At 33.8% G+C, this 19,335-nt stretch overlaps 1 protein-coding gene and 1 long non-coding RNA gene across 18 annotated transcripts in view; one reads left to right on the top strand and one right to left on the bottom strand.

Moving 5' to 3' along the window:
• CADM2 (cell adhesion molecule 2) overlaps positions 1–19,335 on the bottom strand; it is a 1,115,441-nt gene that overhangs the window by 227,683 nt on the left and 868,423 nt on the right. The gene's annotated exons all lie outside the window — the stretch shown is intronic.
• The window catches only part of CADM2-AS2 (CADM2 antisense RNA 2), a 28,064-nt gene continuing 27,425 nt past the window's right edge, over positions 18,697–19,335 (top strand). Inside the window, exon 1 of the long non-coding RNA NR_046752.1 lies at positions 18,697–18,746. This is a non-coding gene — a long non-coding RNA (CADM2 antisense RNA 2). The remainder of the gene's footprint in view (positions 18,747–19,335) is intronic.

The following is a 19,335-nucleotide window of genomic DNA, read 5'->3' as shown; positions in this document are numbered from 1 at the left end:
GGGACTACAGGCATGCACCACCACATCGGCTGATTTTTTTAATCTGTAGAGAGAGTTTGACTGTGTTACCTAGGCTGGTCTTAAACTCCTGGCTACATGCGATTGTCCTGCCTCAGCCTCTCATAGTGTGGGGATTACAGGTGTAAGCCACCACACATAGCCTTAATCTTGAAATATATTTTAATTTTTGCTTAACTGCAAATATTTGCATACCCTTAAAACTCAGCATTTTTGGCAATGTCTTTTCTGAATAACCTGACTCCTGACATGCAAACCCATGTGTTCTAGATATCGCCAACTTGGAGAGTTAGGAATTGGCATATAAGAAATTGAAACAACAAAAAAAATCTACCTCTTCCCAAGTGTTCCTCTATACAGCTCTGTTGCTCAGTCATTCTAGAGGACAGTGGGTATGTATCATATACTGACTGAATGATTAAGCAAATAAATGAAAGTTAGCTTTTCTAAATTAAGTATTTAGAAATAGAAATATTAAATGCAACGCTAGAAAATATTCCAAATAGTCATTTTTTTACTAAAAATGCAATAATCTCTCTATTAGTAAAAACCTTCTATTCTTATGACCCTGTGTGTTCTGAAGTTTGATACTTTATCTAAAATACATAAGAGTAATAACATTTCAGAATTCAAAGGGCTTTGCAGAACTTCTCTGAGTCTCTCCTATGAAAAGATTGGCCTGTGCTTTCTTTCTTTTATTTGGAATCCTCCTCTGTCCTGGAATATCCCAGGCAGACCCACCACCAACCCCAGTAGAACCCCAGCTCTATAGTCATTAAGAGTTTACTATGAACCCAAGGCCACCAGTGTAGCCCAATACCAGGACAGCACCAAATCTCAGAGCCACCACCACCAAAGCTTCCCTGAAGAAAACCAAATATTCCATTCAGATTTCTAAACACCATGTTAAAATTAATAGAGTTTCTTAAGATTTGTTTTATCATCTCTCATTTACATATAGTGTTGTAGTATTCTATAAGGCACGTATTGTGGATATAGGATTAATGATAGCCTTGAGGCCCACTCAAACATCCCGCTGGGCCTACATCCTGTGCCACTTAGCACATGATATAATCTGACATAATCTAACTTGGGGTATTCCAACTCTGGCCTGGGATTACCATGTCTTTATGACAATGAGACCTAAAAACTTTGGTTGCCCTACGGAGGAGGCCACCTCAGCACAGAGATTGTTCATGAATGAACAATCTTAAAGCTTCATGAATCTTAAAGCATAACTTTACAGGAATAGCTTAAACTTCCTTCATGAAAGAAACATCTGGTAAGTGATCTGGATTGAACATAGTTACAAGAAAGGAGAAGGAATCTTCCAAACTCTGAGAGTGGTCTCCGGAGGGAGACCTTCCCCGTGAGTTGGTCATCTGACTCCTGACTGAATCTGGCCCAGCCTATCAGCCTGTCCTGCTATCTATCTTGTGACTGGCCCGGGCTACCAGCCTGTCCTGCTATCTGTCTTGTGAGAGCCATGCCAGAATAAACTGCTTGGACATCAGATGGTGCCTACAAGTTTTTCTTTTCTTTTCTTTGCTCTTCTTTTTTTTTTTTTTTTTTTGTGACTAAGTCTCAGTTTGTCACTCAGGCTGAAGTGCAGTGGCTCAATCATGGCTCACTCCAGCCTCAAACTCCTGGGCTCAAGTGAACCTCCTTGTATTAACCTCCCAAGTAGCTAGGACTACATGTGCATACCAACGTGCCTGGCTAATTTTTTTTTTCATTTTTGTAAAGATAGGCATCTCACTCTGTTGCCCATGCTGGTCTCAAACTCCTCGCTTTAACGTATCCTCCCACCCCAGCCTCCCAAAGTGCTGGTATTACAAGTGTGAGCCACCACGCCTGGACTAAAGCTCATTTTTTTACAGGAATTAGACTGAAGAAGAAAAGTCAACTCCAGAGAATCCAGTTAATTAAGATGACCTGACTGCTCCGAATGCAATATGTGTGTGTGTGTACACTCGTTACATATGGTATACATGTGTGTATTATTAATATACTAATATCAAGAATTATTAGGAGACTAGATTCACAATTAGAGGTATACATTTGGAACTTGCTTTTCAAATATGGTTATTTTATCTATAGCAATATAAGAAGAACAAATGATCTTAATCACTGATGAACTGAGTATTTACTTCAGAAAGTGTTGCACTTATATTGTTCCAAATATGACTGAACAGAAAGTTGCATTTGTTTCTAATGCATTACTCTCCTTTTCATTGTTTCTTTCTTCATTTTAGGGGTATATATTGTGCCTGTATCAATCCCCTTAAAGCTACAGCAGCAAATATGCCTTATATATTTCCTACGGAAATTTAAACATATTTTAAAAACACATTTTAAAAAAGGGTTTGTTTTTATTCCAAAAGAACTAAATAAAAAAATATTATAACAAAAAATTCAAAGTATGGTAAAATATAGAGAACTCTAAACTTAGTCCATCGAGCCCAACCTGTTCTTCATGATGACAAATTTGGTGATCTTTTCTAATTATCTATTATTCTATAATATTGAAAAAAGGTTCTCTGTAGATCAGAAATCTCTGATAGCTGGATTATCTCACATATTCTTCTCAAGAACTCTGTAAGGAAGATATTATTAAAATTATTATCTGTATTGGAGAGCTGAGAAAACTAAAGCTTAGAAAGCTTCAGTCCCCTATCAGATGAGATGCGGCTATGAAGAAGTGGTGCTGGGACCGATCCGTAAAGCCTGGCTACCGAACCCGAATTCTTAAACAGTCTGCACTCCCTGGGTGCTAGTAATATCTAAACTAAGAGCATCAGGTTTGTTTTTTTAGTAACCGCTCCCCCCCCACACACACATACACTCACATGAAACTGCACTTTCTGAAAAGATTTATAATAGAAATTCTTGCTCAAGTCTATTTGGAACATTGTCTAACATATTTGCATTAGAGTTTCTCCTGGTGTTTTAGCTTCTGTTGTTTACCTGGAGCATTAACGTGATCTTCAAATGCACTGCTGAGCTTGGAGAAAAGCCAGCTTAAACATGTATTAATGATAATCTTACATATAGTTAATTAACATTTTTATTTCTGTTTTACTCACATTTAATTAAAGTGATGAGAGAATATTGAATTAGATATTTATTACTATTGAAAATCAACATAATGGGATGGTTACAAAACCTCATATAAATATTTATTTGAGAAAAAATTTGTATTCCACCTTACTTTAAATAAAAAATATAAGACAAAGTTTGAAATATGTAGTTAATATCTTGCTTAATGATAAAAGTTAAAGAATCACCATATATCCTATTGTAACTTTCCACTAAAGAGAGAAAGAAAAGGTTGGGGGGCGGGGTTGGGTAGGAGGAAAGAGAGAGAGAGAAAGACCGTATTCTTAAAGACAAAGATACATTACTAAGGCTGGGGTTAGATGACGATGTTTCTGCTATTGATTCCCATGCACTTAAAGTCAGCAAAGAAAGCAAAATATTATCTAAATGAAATAAGATTTTTCAATTTCATAAATGGATTCTAAATATAATCTCAAAACTGAAAGAATCTTAGTTATTATTCCATGTTTTTCCAAAATGCATTTTTCAAAAGATGTGTCTAGTGTATCTAAGCACCATGGCAGCTTCCAAAGCCATGACAATGCTAAACATTTAATCATGGTTATACGGTTTCCTTTTTCTATTTCCTCTGCCAATATACATAGGTACTACTAGTATATAATTACAATTATTTATTTATGTTTTGCTTTTACCTGTAACTGGCAGTTATATGAATGCATGTCCACAATTGTGTATCTTTTTAAATATTTTTAATCTGCTCTCTAACGTATAGGAATCAATGCTAAATAACTTTTGTGTATAATATCTACTAATTTATGAATCTAATATCTAATGAATTTAATATAATTATTTATGAGACATAGATGTCTCCTATAAGAAGTTAACAGTAAGGGTAAAATCATGATAACTGAAAGAAAGACATAAGACTAAGTTTAATAAACAGATGAAAAGTTGAATTAAAATATAGGGGACACCCTCTCTTTATCCTCAATCCTAGATGAGATCTGCAGAGAAGGAAGCGGGTGTGGACATATGGCTTCCCTGCTTCCTAACCTTGCCAAGAAGACATGTGATGTTACCTCATCGGTAGGGAAGCTTTCTGAAGGAAGTTTAGATTTGAGATGAATTTAAGAGACTGTGGACAGGAAATTAATTGGCCCAAGAAGATAAGTCTCATTGATCCAAGTCTAGTTTTTCCATGAAGCTTTGACTGAAAAACTAAAAATGAAAAAAATAGCAGCTGTCCTGGTCTGAAATGGCAACATTTCTTGAAAGAGGGTTGAGGAAGACAGGCAAATATAACTTGCATTCAAGCAGAACATTTTATTTTCTCTATCACCTCAGCTGTTGTTCCTCATCTCCAGAGGCTGCCAGCCTCAGCCATTTGGGAAGCCACAGTGGATCTACTCTATTCAATCCTCTTGTGGGGATAGGTCATTAGACCAGCAGTGTGGGACCTCGCAGAACAGATTTTCCTTCTAGTGCTGATTTGTTTTACTCTGGAGCAATACACAAAGAAACTAATCACGAGAGTTCATGGTGAATGTTTTCTTGGTAGACTTTTTTAACCTCTGCAGCAGCCGCAGGATTGGAAAATTTATGCATTAAAGCAAATAATTTTTTTAAATGTAAAAGCATAACATACAAGTAATGTGAGCATGATAAAGGGGTTTGTTATAGAAAATAAAAATACATTAAAATTAGTTACAAGACAGAAACTATAATTTTACAAATCACAAGCCCTGAAATGTTTTTAATAATATTATAAGGGATTCTCAATAAAGGCATACCAAGGAAATTAGACAAATTACAGTCATTTGAAATTCAGTCACAGAAAGATATGATAAAATTTATGTTTCTCTGTTTAATATTAAATATTAAACAAAGAATAATGTTATATGCAGGCATCTCATTGCTATATAGCATATTTGTTGCTATATAGGTATGAATAAAGTCTGTTAATCCAAAGAAATATGTTTTTTGAACCTTAATTATGTGTGCTACAGATATTGTGTCCACTACTCGTCCACCCCAACAGCCACAAACCTGGATTGGTTGGGTAGAATTAAAACCCAAGGGTGAAAGAAACAAGCTATCAGACTTTAGTTTAAAACAAGTACTTCAGGACAAGCTGAAAACAGTGTGGACTCCCTTTGAATATAGGGAGTTTCCTCTAACAAGAATAGTAAACAAAATTTGAAAGAACATTTAGAATAATAATATGGAAATGAAAGTAATATCAGAAAGATGGTAGGACTAAATAAACTTTAAGCTTCTTAAAATATAGGGTTCATCTTTTTTAAGCAAGGTACTCTAAATTCATAAGGCACTGGGCTCGTGACTCCTCTCTACCTCTCTTATATTACACTACTCCTCTACCTCCCCATGCTACCTGATATGTAATTCTAGCCTGGCACTGAAAGTGTTTTTAAATATTCACCTAAAGGATACCATTACCCGTAATATTCAATTTTAAGTTTTGAAATTGTCAAATTTCTATCTGAAAAGTTTCATGTTATCAAGAGTTTATAATATAATATTGAATATAATCAATTCTCTAATTGGGCATTTACTTTTCTTCCACTGCCCTCCAATCATTCTGTAATATTGATTATTATATTATTATTTCAATTATTACAGTCTTATAAAGTGAGTTATAATATTGAATACTATAGACCAATTTAGAATCACTGGTATTTGAGTTCAGTAGTAATAAATATGATATGTAGTTACTTTCAGCTTATTTTTTGGGTTTTCTTTTTGGTGGTATTTAGAAGTTTTAAGTCCCTACATATGCCCAGTTTACAATTCAAGTCACATGAATAAATAAGAGTTAATGTTTCATTTCATATAAATTTATATAATTATTTTCAAAGTTCTATCCATATAATTAAAAAGCCATAAATATATCTTGCATGTTAAAATTGCATTAATTATGATATAGGCCACTGAAAAATACCTTGTAGCATTTTATCCTAAGGGATACTGCAAGTAACAGTTGGGTTCACTAACACAAAATGAACAATGGATTTCTGAAAAGAGAATACAGGTATTCTGTGTCATATAATTGAATACATGGAGTGTGAATCAGCTTATTTAATTGAATTGAGGGATCAATTAGAATCCTAGTTGTTTTAAATAAATCATTTAGCACCTTTAAAAGCTGAAAGTAAAATTATACAATATTTTTTAAATAATCAGAATTATAAGTATGTGAGTACATGAGAATATTCTTGATGCAAATAAAAAGGCTACATGTTACCACAATTTAGTATTGTAAGTCTTAGGTGACCGCTTTTGGTGAACACCACATTGTAAGTCATGGATATCCTCATAGAAACAAAGAAAGTAGGTGTTGTCATTTTTTTCTAAAAATGGAAGGAAAAACAGAAACATGGTTCAAAAACTAATTAAACTTGCTGCAACAGAAATGAAAGCATTTTGATGTACTTATTAAAGGGAAAATGCTGTGAAATTAACAGTAATCAAAAGCTAATTACAGTTGATGCAATAGGAGCAGTCAAAGAATGCTTGATAACATTTATTGAACTAAAAAACATGGCTGTCAAAAAAGGACGCATGTTGAATAAAATTCAAGTAATTACAGAAAAAAGCTGAAGGAGAGTGAACTGGTAAATTATATATCAAATAAAGAGAAACTTAAAGTATACAATTCTGAGTAGAATCTTTATTCTCGTTAATGAACATGTCCCTGTGAGAAATAAGACATGGCCAAAAAATGATGCTTTCACTTATTGTTCCTCTTTTATTACCCGTAATTATTCGGAACTCTCAGATGGCAATGATAAAATGGTTCTTTTTTACTGAATGAACTATTTTATAAGATCTGTAAAGAATACATAGCCATTTATTTAGTCTAACATGTGGTAACTAAATTCAGTATTTGCCTGAATAAGTAATATAAAGACATAGGATTTTGATGTTTTCTTTCTCACCATGAAATGGGTGACCCTGACTTTCATATTTGCAATTATGAGATATGACTGCCTTTCCTTTTTCAGTCCCACTTCCCCTCATCTTCCTGAATGCCAATTATATAGAAGGCTAAATTGTGTGCCTGAGGTAAGAAGTACACCAATTGCAATGTGCACTCATTGAGCTCTCTATCGTAGGCAGCAGAGTAGCTAGTACAAAGAAATAGTCCTAAGGTTAAAACCAAAAAAAATGGCAAAGAATAATAACCATATGTTTTTCATGTTTATTATTATGTGTGATTAGCCTTTTATGTAAGATCTAAGTACAGAGGAAAATATATAGACAGAGAGAGTATTATAAATATTACAAAATGGACAAGGGGATATAAAAATAGGAATTTTCATATATTTCAGAATAGTCATCTTTAACAGACTAGAGAAGAAATTATACTATTTCAATAACTAAAATGAGGGTTGACCTTGCCAGTAAAGCAAGGGAAAAAAATCGGAGCAGCTTTTTTATTCCTCTCAGGCCCTATGCTACACAGTGAGTTATAGACACCAGGTGAACAGCAATGTTAATTAGGGTACTACAGTCTTGGCTGTTAAATTTGCTTCAGGGAAGAATAGCTGTGACAAGTAGGCATTGTAATATTAAACCAAGGCTCTCAAATTTCCAAGCATATGTTAAAGAGAGGGGCTTGACAAAACACATGTTCTTCCCTCTCCATCCCACCTCAAGATTCTGATTCAGTAGGTCAGGCTAAGTCCAAAACATCTGAAATTTTAACAAGCACCCCTAAGTGAATTTGCAGTAAGAGGCTTTCAATTACATTTTGAGCTGTAGGTTATTATTTCCTTAAGGACAATAAACCTTTATTAACCTTTGAATCATCCAAGTCATTTTAGTTACTTTCATAATTCCCTCCCCATTCTATTATTGTAACTGGGTAAATAAAATCAATCTATGACTGGTATTTTATATATTGTATAAATATAAAAGATACAGTACAGAGTCAGTGAGAAGTAATTTAGTTAAATATCTGATGATTTTTTCAACCTTGGCTGCATATCAAACTCACTAAGGGGTTTTTAAAAATACTATTTAAAATTTCAAAACAAAACCAAAATGCAGAGATTAAGTTAAGGTCCTCCCCTCTCCTCCAAAAAAGTATATTATAACCAGAGCACCTCAAATAAAAATTTTGTAGAAAATAATTGTTAAAATTATTTTTGAGTGCATAATATGTGCTAATAAGCAGTTTATAAACTTACTCTTCACAACAGCTTCCAAGGTGGGTTGCACAAGGCTCTGTGTTTAGAAGAGCTCCAATCTCGGCTTCAAGCTCTGCCATCAGTGATTAATGCTCTGCTACTGCCAACTTGAAATTGGTCATGATGTTTGAGTAAGGGCCCTACATTTTTATTTTTTCTTGAGCCCACAGTTTATGTAGGTGGTCTTGACCTATGAGGTGAGTTTGATTTATGTTTCCTTTTAAAGATGCAGAAGATTCAAGCCCCTTGTTTAAATTCACATAGATTGCAAGTGATTTAATGTGATCCCACACACTGGACTTTAGCCCCAGTGATGGTTCTTTAACCACTATTAATAAGATAACCACTTAAAATTTGAGTTGAGTATGTATAGATGAAGTGATTCTAAAATATTGTTGTCAAAAACAAACAAACATTGAAGATAATCAAAATGACCAAATATTTCGTCTGATTTATGTATGGTAGTGATAATGCCCCAGTGAATTCATATTGGTGTGCTTATAACAGTAGAATATGCATTATAAGGGCTATGGAGGAAGCTACTGAATGGATAATTAGTATAAATGCAGCATACTTTTATCACAATATCTCAGGTAAATAATTTCCTAATACTACTTAGAATAGGAAGCAACACACTTTGATTATAATTTTTATCTTACAGTGGAGTTTAATTTTAGAAGTTATGTGTTATGGTAAAAATATACTCTAAATTAATATACCTGCAGAATAGTAACAGAGTACAGCTCTTTTAAGCAGTATATTGTTTGTCAGAGTTCATGTAGATATTTTCAAGAAAAGATTCTTGTTCTAGCCCAAAATTCTCATGTGTATTGAACGTCAAAAATGATTGCTGAAGCATGTCAGTCAGTTCCAAAGAATGATGACGAGACATAACTGACACAATTGGAAAAAAAAATCTCCACTTTGTACAAAGTGTCTTTCCTCTGATTCCTTAGCTCTACCTCAATTCTAACAGGTTAAACCCACCATGATGAATTTTTCTTCCTTAATATTGCGAAATCTCTCTGGAACTGTTTTTTTCCCCCTAATTAAATTATAGGTAAAAGGAGAATGTTTTTTATATTTAATATTATAGTCACTTAAAACTATTGAAAATACTTTAGAAAGTTCTACTTGAGAAGCATGAAAACATTACATTATCCAGTTAACAGTTACCATGCTTATTTTCCCTTTATTTTAGTGGCATTTATACATTTCAAGAAGTGAAGCAGAGATCCCCAGATTTAACTCATCAAACATTATAACACATGAAGTAGTTAGCCATACTGATTTTAATTTGTGTTGTTAGGACGATGAGAAATATTCTAAAATGAACATGACTTGTACACATTCCTAATCATATCTCAGATCATGGAATGTCCCTTATTAAAACTGCTGCCATTTGAAAAAAAATTCATTGAACTATATCGTATGGAAACTGAGATCTTCATTTTTACAACTACAGAAGAAAATGATCCCTCCTATGTAATTCATAATTGGCAAGTTCATATTCTTTCTCACATGGTGAATTAGAAGCCACCTGAAATAACTTTGCCTGTTATCTGAACTATGTTTGTTCTTGTGCTTTAGCTTGCCAGGCACTCACATGGCTGTATAGATGCCATTTTGCTCGTATCAAAATCTTTAAATATATAAATTCTGAAACCAATAGATTGATACTTAGTTTCATGTAAGAGGCAGAGAGCTTTGAAATGTTTTTCAGTTTTAGTCATGCAGGAGGGATTGTCTTTGAAGTTTCCCTGGATATCTTCTTCAGTGCACAACATAAATTACCCCAATTCAGTATCCATTACCCTCTATTTCAGTCCCATTAAATCTCTCCAAATAGATATCCTTTATGCCACACACATCCAGTGAAATTCAAGGCCCTTTTTGTCATATAGTTAAGAGGTGCCACATACTGCTCTCAAACACAGAGAGTAATTTCCACATTTTAAAACAACAAATTAATCCTGACCTCCACTATTGATTGAAGATGGAGACTGGTTTTCTAGGCCTTGATCAGGTTGTTTCTAAAAAATTTTAATTATTGTTAGCAGTCAGTAGAAGATAGAAAGAATCAAAACCTGAAGCCATATGTGACCACAGTTTTTTCTTTTCTTTCACTGGAATAAATTATTATCTGCACCAGTAGCAAATGGTCATTTTTACAACCATGCCCTCTGGGCTTTTTTCCAGAACTCTTCTCAGCTCACTACACTAAGAAAAAGCACTTCACTAGCAAGTTACTGCACATTTTAAGGTAGGTTTTTTTTCCTCCCCTGAAAGCTCTTTAAATAAGTGATGATAAAAGGTCAGATGCTATCAGAGTGCTTTAGTCCCTTTGTTACAAGTCAATAACATCATTTTTATTCCATTTGGCAGCTCAAAACTAAAACGCTTTTTCAAAACTGACAAGTTGTGGGCAATTATGACATTTAAAATAGCAGCCTGTATGAAAGTCATAGGGAAATATTTTCTTCATTGAGGGCTTTTAAACACATATGATGCTTTATAGCCAGGAATTAACTAGAAATATGGTGACTTTCAGTAGAAATAAAGGGAGTAACATGAAAAGACCTAATTAATGAGAAATTTCATTAGTTAGAGATACTCTGACACTAGATGGAATATAATATAATAAAATCAGTCTATACTGAGTCTGTTTTTTGCAAGCAAGGGATATATATATATTATATTATATATTATATACATATAGCAAGATATATATATATATACACATACACATACATATATAAAATACTTGCTGTATCATAAACAAGGTCTCAAAGATGCCCTTTGGGAATTAAAGTGCATGTTTCTTTTCTAAGAAAAACAATGAAAGATAAAGTACATGGGGCTCTTTAGGAAAAACACCAAAAATAAAAACAAGCAAAAGGCATTACAGTTCTCTAAAGTATATTTGATATATCAGGGAAGCAAAATTTGTTGAGAATTCAAACTAAGAGCTGTAGTTCTGTTTTGCCTATAGACTCAGTACATAGCAAAGCTTCTTGAAGTTTCCAAAATGAAAAATGCCCATGTGAGCTTGACTTCTAGGCATTCTTTGATTATTTCCTTACAGCTCAGAATAAACAGTGATTAACAGGATAAGGCCAACAAGTCAGGAAAAAAAAAAAAAAAGAAGCTAAAACTGTTTTCACAGTAGCTACCTCTCACACATTTCAAATTATAAAGTGTAGCTTTTTAAAAGCTATCAAAATATGTCTATCAAAACATTAATCACAAGTATGTGAGGAAAAAGGAAAGGCAACCCTAGCAAAAATACCAGAGCTGTGGCAGATTAAAGCCTTATTTAAATTTTTAAAATTTTGCATTGTTCACTGCAAGTTGGATGTCCATCAAGAAGTTACACATTTCTTTACTCTTTTATCTTATCATTTCAGTGGATCAAGAGACCGTCATACTTCTGATTTCAACATTCACACACACATGCGTGTGCAAGCACACTCACATATAGCCACACATTGAATGAATATTTAACTCAATAATTTTAATTTCTTGGCTAATCTAGTTAGATTTCAGCTGTGTCATTTATGAGTTCTGAACAATTAACTTCTCTAGGCCTTTACACTCAAATTGAGGAAATTAAAGATGTCACCTGTGACAACTCAACCCCATTTGTGATATATAACAATCTCCTGATGAATGCTTATTCTATTACTATGCACCCAAGGCCAACGTGTTTTTTTTTTTTTCCCCAAGAAGATACAGGAAAACTTAACCCAGCAAATGAGACTACAATTGGAAATGTTGTTCTCCATGTGTCCAGTAGATTCAACAGATTCCTTTGCACAAAGCATATAACTACAAGTCAAACTCAGAACATAAATTATGGGACTAACAAGTGTTTATATCATTATTTCTCAAAAAATAATTGTCCAACATAAAGCAGATCAGAATATTTTGATATATTGTAACAACACAAGTCCATACATAGGAAATGTGATTAGGAAGTAGAAAGTGGATTTTTCTACTTATACCCTCATGTCTATCTTATTAGTTGACACTTTTTTACTTGTATTCTTTCTGGTTGCACTATAGCCTGTTTTCTTAAGGCCATGTAGTTAAAAACGCTAACCAATTAAAAGCTTCATGACAGTCTTTGATTTATATATAGAATATTATTTGTGTTTGGCTTGCATTTTCGAGATTTATAATTCTTAAGGGCAGGTAACATAACACTATGAATATTTAAATCTTACCATAAGAGTATAATAATTTTTTTCTCTTTTTAAGCATCCAAATTTTTAAAAAGTGAGTTAATAGTAGATCCATGATTTCTGTCTTCATGTTAAGAGACCTTTGACAATCATAAGAAGAACTTTATTTTTGAATTTTGGTTGTCTTAATAGATTAGAGATTTGATAGATGGTTGGCACTTAAATCCTATAAAATTTCCCACTAGAAACTAATGACAACAAATAAATGAAAATACATCCCATGTACATGGATTGGAAGAATTAGTACTGTTAAAATGTTCATACTACTCAAAGCCATCTACAGATTCAATGCAATCTCCATTAAAATTCCAATGGCATTTTTAACAGATGGAAAAAAACCTAAATATCATATGAAACAACAAAAGACTCCAAAGAGCCAAAAAATTTTGAGAAAGAAGAACAAAGCTGGAACCATCATGTTTTCTGATGATGATGATATAGCTTTGTCTGTAACAAAGCTATATTAATTAAAATAGTATGTTGCTGGCATAAAACAGACATGTAGACCCCTGGAATCTATGCAGACATCATCAACTAGTCGTTGACAAGGGCACCAAGAATACACAATGGGGAAAAGATGTCTCCAATAAATGGTGCTGGGACAGACTGAAAACTTTAGAGGAAATAAATAAATTTCTGGAAACACACAACCTCACAAGACTGAGTCAGGAAGAAATAAAAAAATCCTGAACAAACCAATATCAGGTTCTGAAATTGCATCAGTAATGAAAAACCTACCAACCAAAAAGAGCCCTGGATCAGATGGATTCACAGCTAAATTCTACCAGATGTATGAAGAACTGTTACCAATCCTACTGAAACTAATTGAAAAAATAGAGCAGGAGGGACTCCTCTCTAACTCATTCTATGAAGCCAGCATCACCCTGATGCCAAAATCTAACAAAGACACAACAACAACAACAACAACAACAACAAAGAAAACTGCAGGCTAATATCCCTGATGAACATAGATTAAAAAATCCTCACCAAAATACTAGCAAACCAAATCCAGCAGCACATCAGAAAGCTAATTCGCCACGATTAAGTAAGCTTTATTCCTGGGATGCAGTGATGGTTTAGTATACATAAATCAATAAATGTGATTCACCACATAAACTGAATTTAAAACAAAATTATGTGATGCAGAAATGCTTTTGATAAATAGATGCAGAAAATGCTTTTGATAAAATTCAACATCCTTTCATGATAAAAACCCTCAACAAACCAGACACTGAAGAAAAATACCTCAAAATACTAACAGCCATCTACGACAAATTCACAGCCAACATTGTACTGAATGAGCGGAAGCTGGAAGCATTCATCTGAAGAGATGTAACAAGATGAGGATGCCCACTCTCACCACTCCTATTCAACACTTTACTGAAATTCCTAGCCGGAGCACTCAGGTAAGAGAAAGAAATAAAAGGTATCCAAATAGAAAAATAAGAAGTCAAATTATCTCTGTTTGCAGATGATACGATTCTATACCCAGAAAACTCTAGACTCCATCAAAGGGCTCCTAGAAATGGTAAATGACTGCAGGAAAATTTCAGGTTACAAAATCAATGTATAAAAATCAGTAGCATTTCTATACAACAATAATGTTCAAGCTGAGAGCCAAATCAAGAACATGATCCCATGCATGATACCTAGAAAAAATACCTTGGAATAGATCTAACCAAGGAGATGAAAGATCTCTACAAAGAGAACTACAAAAACTGATGAAGAAATCATAGATGATACAAAGAAATGAAAAGCATCCCATGCTCATGAATTGGAAGAATCAATATTGTTAAAATTGCCATACTGCCTAAATCAACCAACAGATTCAATGCTATTCCTATCAAACTACACACATCATTTTTCACAGAACTGGATATACTACCCTGAACTTCATATGGTAGCAAAAAGGAGGCTGAATAGCCAAAGAAATTCTAAGCAAAAAAAATAAAGCTGGATTTGTCACATCACCTGACTGCAAACTACACTACAAGGCTACAGAAACCAAAACAGCAAAAACAGACACACACAGCAATGGAAAAGAATAGAGAAACCAGAAATAAAGCCAAATACCTTCAATCATCTGATGTTTGACAAAGTCAACAATGATGAGCAATAGGGAAAGGAATCCCTAATCAGTAAATGATGCTGTGATAACTAGCTAGCCACATGCAGAAGAGTGAAACTGAACCCCTACCTTTCACCTTTCACTATATACCAAAAACAACTGAAGATGGACTGAAGATTTGAATGTAAAGCCTAAAACTATAAAAATTCTAGAAGAAAACCTAAGAATCACCATTCTGGAGATCAGCCTTGGCAAAGAATTTATAACTTCCCAAAACCAATTGCAACAAAACAAAACTTGACAAGTGGAACCTAATTAAAGAGCTTCTGCACAATGAAAGAGAGTATCAAGAGAGTAAACAGGCAACCTACAGAATGGGAGAAAATAGTCACAAACTATGCATTTGACAAAAGTCTAATATCCAAAATCTATAAGGAACTTAAACGATTCTGCAAGCAAAAAGCAAATAAACCCATTAAAAAAGGGAGCAAAGAATATAGACAGACACTTCTGAAAAGAAGACATACATGGGGCCAAAAATATATTTTAAAATGCTTTACATCACTAATTATTTGATAAATGCACATCAAAGCCACAATGAGATATCATTTCACACCATTCAGAATGGTTAGTATTAAAAAGTCAAAAAATAACAGATTCTGGCAAGGTTGCAGAGAAAAGGGAACCGTTACAAACTGTTTGTGGGAATGTAGATTAGTTCAGTTGCTGGGGAAAGCAGTTTGGAGATTTTTTAAAGAAGTTAAAACAGAACTGCCATTCTATCCAGCAATCCCATTACTGGGTATGTATCTGAAGGAAAATAAATCATTCTACCAAAAGTCATATGTATTAATATGTTCATTGCAGCACTAGTCACAATACTAAAGACATGAAATCAACCTAGATGCCCATGGACTGGATAAAGAAAATGTGGTACATGTACCTCACGGAATGATAAACAACCATAAAGAGAATCAACCTGTGTCCTTTGCAGCAGCATGGATGCAGCTGGAGACCATTATCCTAAGCGAATTAACACAGGAACAGAAAACCAAATACCACAGGTTCTCTCTTATAAGTGAGAGTTAAACACTGAGTACGCATGAACATAACGATGGGAACACGAGACAACGGGGACCACTAGAAGTGGGAGGGTTGCAGGGAGCGAGGGTTGAAAAGCTACTTATCAGGTCTATGCTCACAACTTGGGAGATGGGATCATTTGTAAACCAAGCCTGAGCAGCATGCAATTCATCCATGTAACAAGCCTGCACATGTACCCCCTGGGCCTGTAATAGAAGTTTATAAATAAATAAATAAATAAATAAATAAATAAATAAATAAATAAAATGCACAAAGACATCTTCTGACCAAAAACAAAATAAAAATGAAAATAAATGGTGATGAGAAAACTGGATATTAGCATGCAAAAGAATTGGACCCTTATACCATATACAAAAGTAACTTGAAATGGATTAACAACTTTAATGTAAGCTCTAAAACCATAAAGCTCCTAGAAGAAAATCTAGGGGAAAATATCCTTGGTATTCATAATGAATATTTTGAATACGATACCAAAGCCTGAGCAACAAAAGCAAAAACAAACAAGTGGAGCTAAATCAAACTAAAAAGCTTTTGCACAGTAAAGGAAAGAATCAATAAAATGAAAGGCAACTTATGGGATGGTAGAAACTATTTGAAGACCATTTATGTGATAAAGGGTCAATATCCATATTGTATCAGGAACTCACACAACTCAATGGCAAAAAGAAAACAAATAATCTTCTTAAACAGTGGGCAAAGGACCTGAATAGAAATTTTTCCAAAGCAGACCTACAAATGGCCAAAAGGTATATGAAAACGTTCTCAACATCACTAATCACCAGGGATATGCAAATCAAATCTACAATGAGATATCACATTATACATGTTAGGAAGACTATTACCAAAATGAGAAGTGATAACAAGTGTTGGCGAGCGTGTGAAGAAAATTAATTACTTGTACATTGTTGGTGGGAATGTAAACAGGTAAAGCCATTATGGAAAATGGTGTGAAGATTCCTCAAAAATAAAAAGAAAAGTATAAAACTACCCTATGGGTCAGCAATCTTACTTTTGGGTATATCCAAAGGACACTGAAGTAGTATGTGGAAGAGATATCTGCACTTCCATGTTCATTGCAGAATTATTCACAATAGTCAAGAGGTAAAATTAACCTAAGAGTCCACCAATGGATAAATGGATAAAGAAAAGAAAATGTGGTATATATACACATACTGTTCAGCCTTTTAAAAAAGGGAAATTTTGCCATTTGGGACAACATGAGTGAACCTGGAGAACATTACGCTAAGTGAAGTAAGTCAAGCGCAGAAAGGCAAATGCCATGTAATCTCACTTATATGTGAAATTTCACGTTTGAACTCAGAGGAGCAGAGAGAATAGTGGTTACCCGGGACTGGGAAAGGGGCAAAGAAATGGGGAAATGTCAGTCAAAGAATAGAAACTTTCAGCTAGAAGATGAACAAGGTCTGGGGATCCAAGGTACAGCATGGGTGGAAATGGATGTGTTAATTAATTTGATTGTGGTAATCATTACACAATGCATACTTATATCAAATCATGTTGTACAACTTAAATATATACAATCTTTATTTTAAAGTGCCCAGAATAAATGTATAGTGATTTTTTTCCATAGTTAACTACATTTGGAAAACAACACAAAGAAATGATAAATGTTTGAGGTGATAGGTATGCTAATTACCCTCATTTGATCATTACACATCATATATAGGTATCAAAATATCTCACTCTAGTACATAAATAGGTAAAATTATTATGTGTCAATTAAAAATAATAAAAGCAAAAAAAAAGCAGATCAGTTGGTGGATCCTTATGTTTGGCAGAGAAAGCCAGTCCTTCACAGACATTATCTTGAATGGCTACTATTAAAGAAACCTGAAATTAGGATATAATTACTCATCTTTCTGCTTTGTTCTGCTTCTAAAAGTATGTCTTTAAATTATTCACACACATAATCTTGAATTACTTACCATTTATAAATCAGTGTTACAAGAAGTAGAGATATAGTTTTATTATTTTTATATAGGGTGATGCTAGACACTAAAGTATACTTATGGTCAAATAAAATAATTTCTGGGCCCAACTTAGCCCAGATAAAATAAGAACTTACAAAGTGAGATTTACACTTCAAGAGATAATGTAGGAAAGGAACTTCATATTTCAGATTTTCTATTTTTCTCTCATTTCTCATTTAGTAGGATTTACTGGGAATCTATCATTTGTCAGGTACAGTATTGCAAAAGCTGGTTACATGGTCATTATTATCTCCCTCACAGAACTTGCAATGCACTGAAGGAGAAAACAATATGGTTTGTAGGATGAAAATTAGGGGATTAAAATGGAATATTAAGAGAAAAAAGTTAGATAGCTGAAAGAACAACATCAATGATGATAGAAGTCAGGGAGAAACAAAGAATGAGAGAGTGAGGAATTATACAAGATATAAGTAAATGAAAACAGGAGAGGCATAGCCACATTTAACGATATATAGACATAGGTATAAAGTTTCTAGCTGAGTAGACTTTTGAACTCTGATGTGCTAACTGTGGTAGATTTGGGAGGCCTTACCTGGTCATACGTAATATATGTGTCATTGAAAATTATAACTGTATAATCTATGAACTGCCTAGAAGTCTTTTTTCTCTTTTCTCCCATATGGTGTTCTTTCTTAATCTACAGTTCAAAGATTATTCCTGTTTTAAAATTCCTATTTTAAAAATCTATTTTTGTTTAGAACACAGATGCTTACCTTTCCTATGAGCCATATATAAGTACAAAGAAGCGACTGATATTATATATTACAACTGCTTTACCCGTGTTTGGGATTATGGCAAATATGAAAGTTCAAACAGTTTCTAAATTGCCCTTTAAAATCTCTGCCAAACCTACAAGAAGCTTGGATAGCACGTCAGGGTCTAATAATTGTTTACTAACCTCAATTTTCCTCTTCTTGCATTGTAATAAATGGTAAGTGGTACCTGCCCACCTAAGCTGTGTTTCCCAACTTCACTTGCAGCTACTGTGGCCTAGAAGTAATATGCACCACTTCTGGAACTGGGCATTGAGGTAACCAATGTGTACTTCTCTATTCTGCCTCTTATTCTTTTCATAAACTAAAACATGGAATTGTCCATAACCAACTTCAGACAAGCAAATGAAAACAGAGCCCGGGCAATGGGAGGGCAACAAGATAGAAAGAACCTGGATCCATGAATGACATCGTGGAACAGAAATATCTTGTTGACCTGAATCATTCACTTTGAGTACGATATATGAGAGAAAAATTTTTATGAGTTAAAAACAATACATTTGGGAAAAATACAGCACAGCAGCATTAACTGTTCTTTCTAAAGACTTATATGAAAATAAGCCTCAGGAAGATTTTCCTTTTGAAACCTTTCTCATGAACTTTTCTAATCAGTTGTCTCTCTAGTAGCCTCTGGTCTGATTCCTACACAATAAAAGAAATGGAATTTCTAAAATAATAAAAGAGATAGAAAATGATTAAGCTTTCCATAAATAGAATAATCCCCCATTGCTTAATTTACTGAGAATCACTTGAATTTCTAAAGAATTTTATAATTTCCTTGTCAAGTTATTTGATACTAAAGAAAACATACTGTCTCTATGGATCTACACACCGCGCTATGCAACA

Source organism: Homo sapiens, chromosome 3 (assembly GCF_000001405.40).
Source record: "Homo sapiens chromosome 3, GRCh38.p14 Primary Assembly".
NCBI lineage: Eukaryota > Metazoa > Chordata > Mammalia > Primates > Hominidae > Homo > Homo sapiens.
The sequence above is the reverse complement of the archived record's forward strand: the minus strand, read 5'-3'. Positions and strand labels throughout refer to the sequence as shown.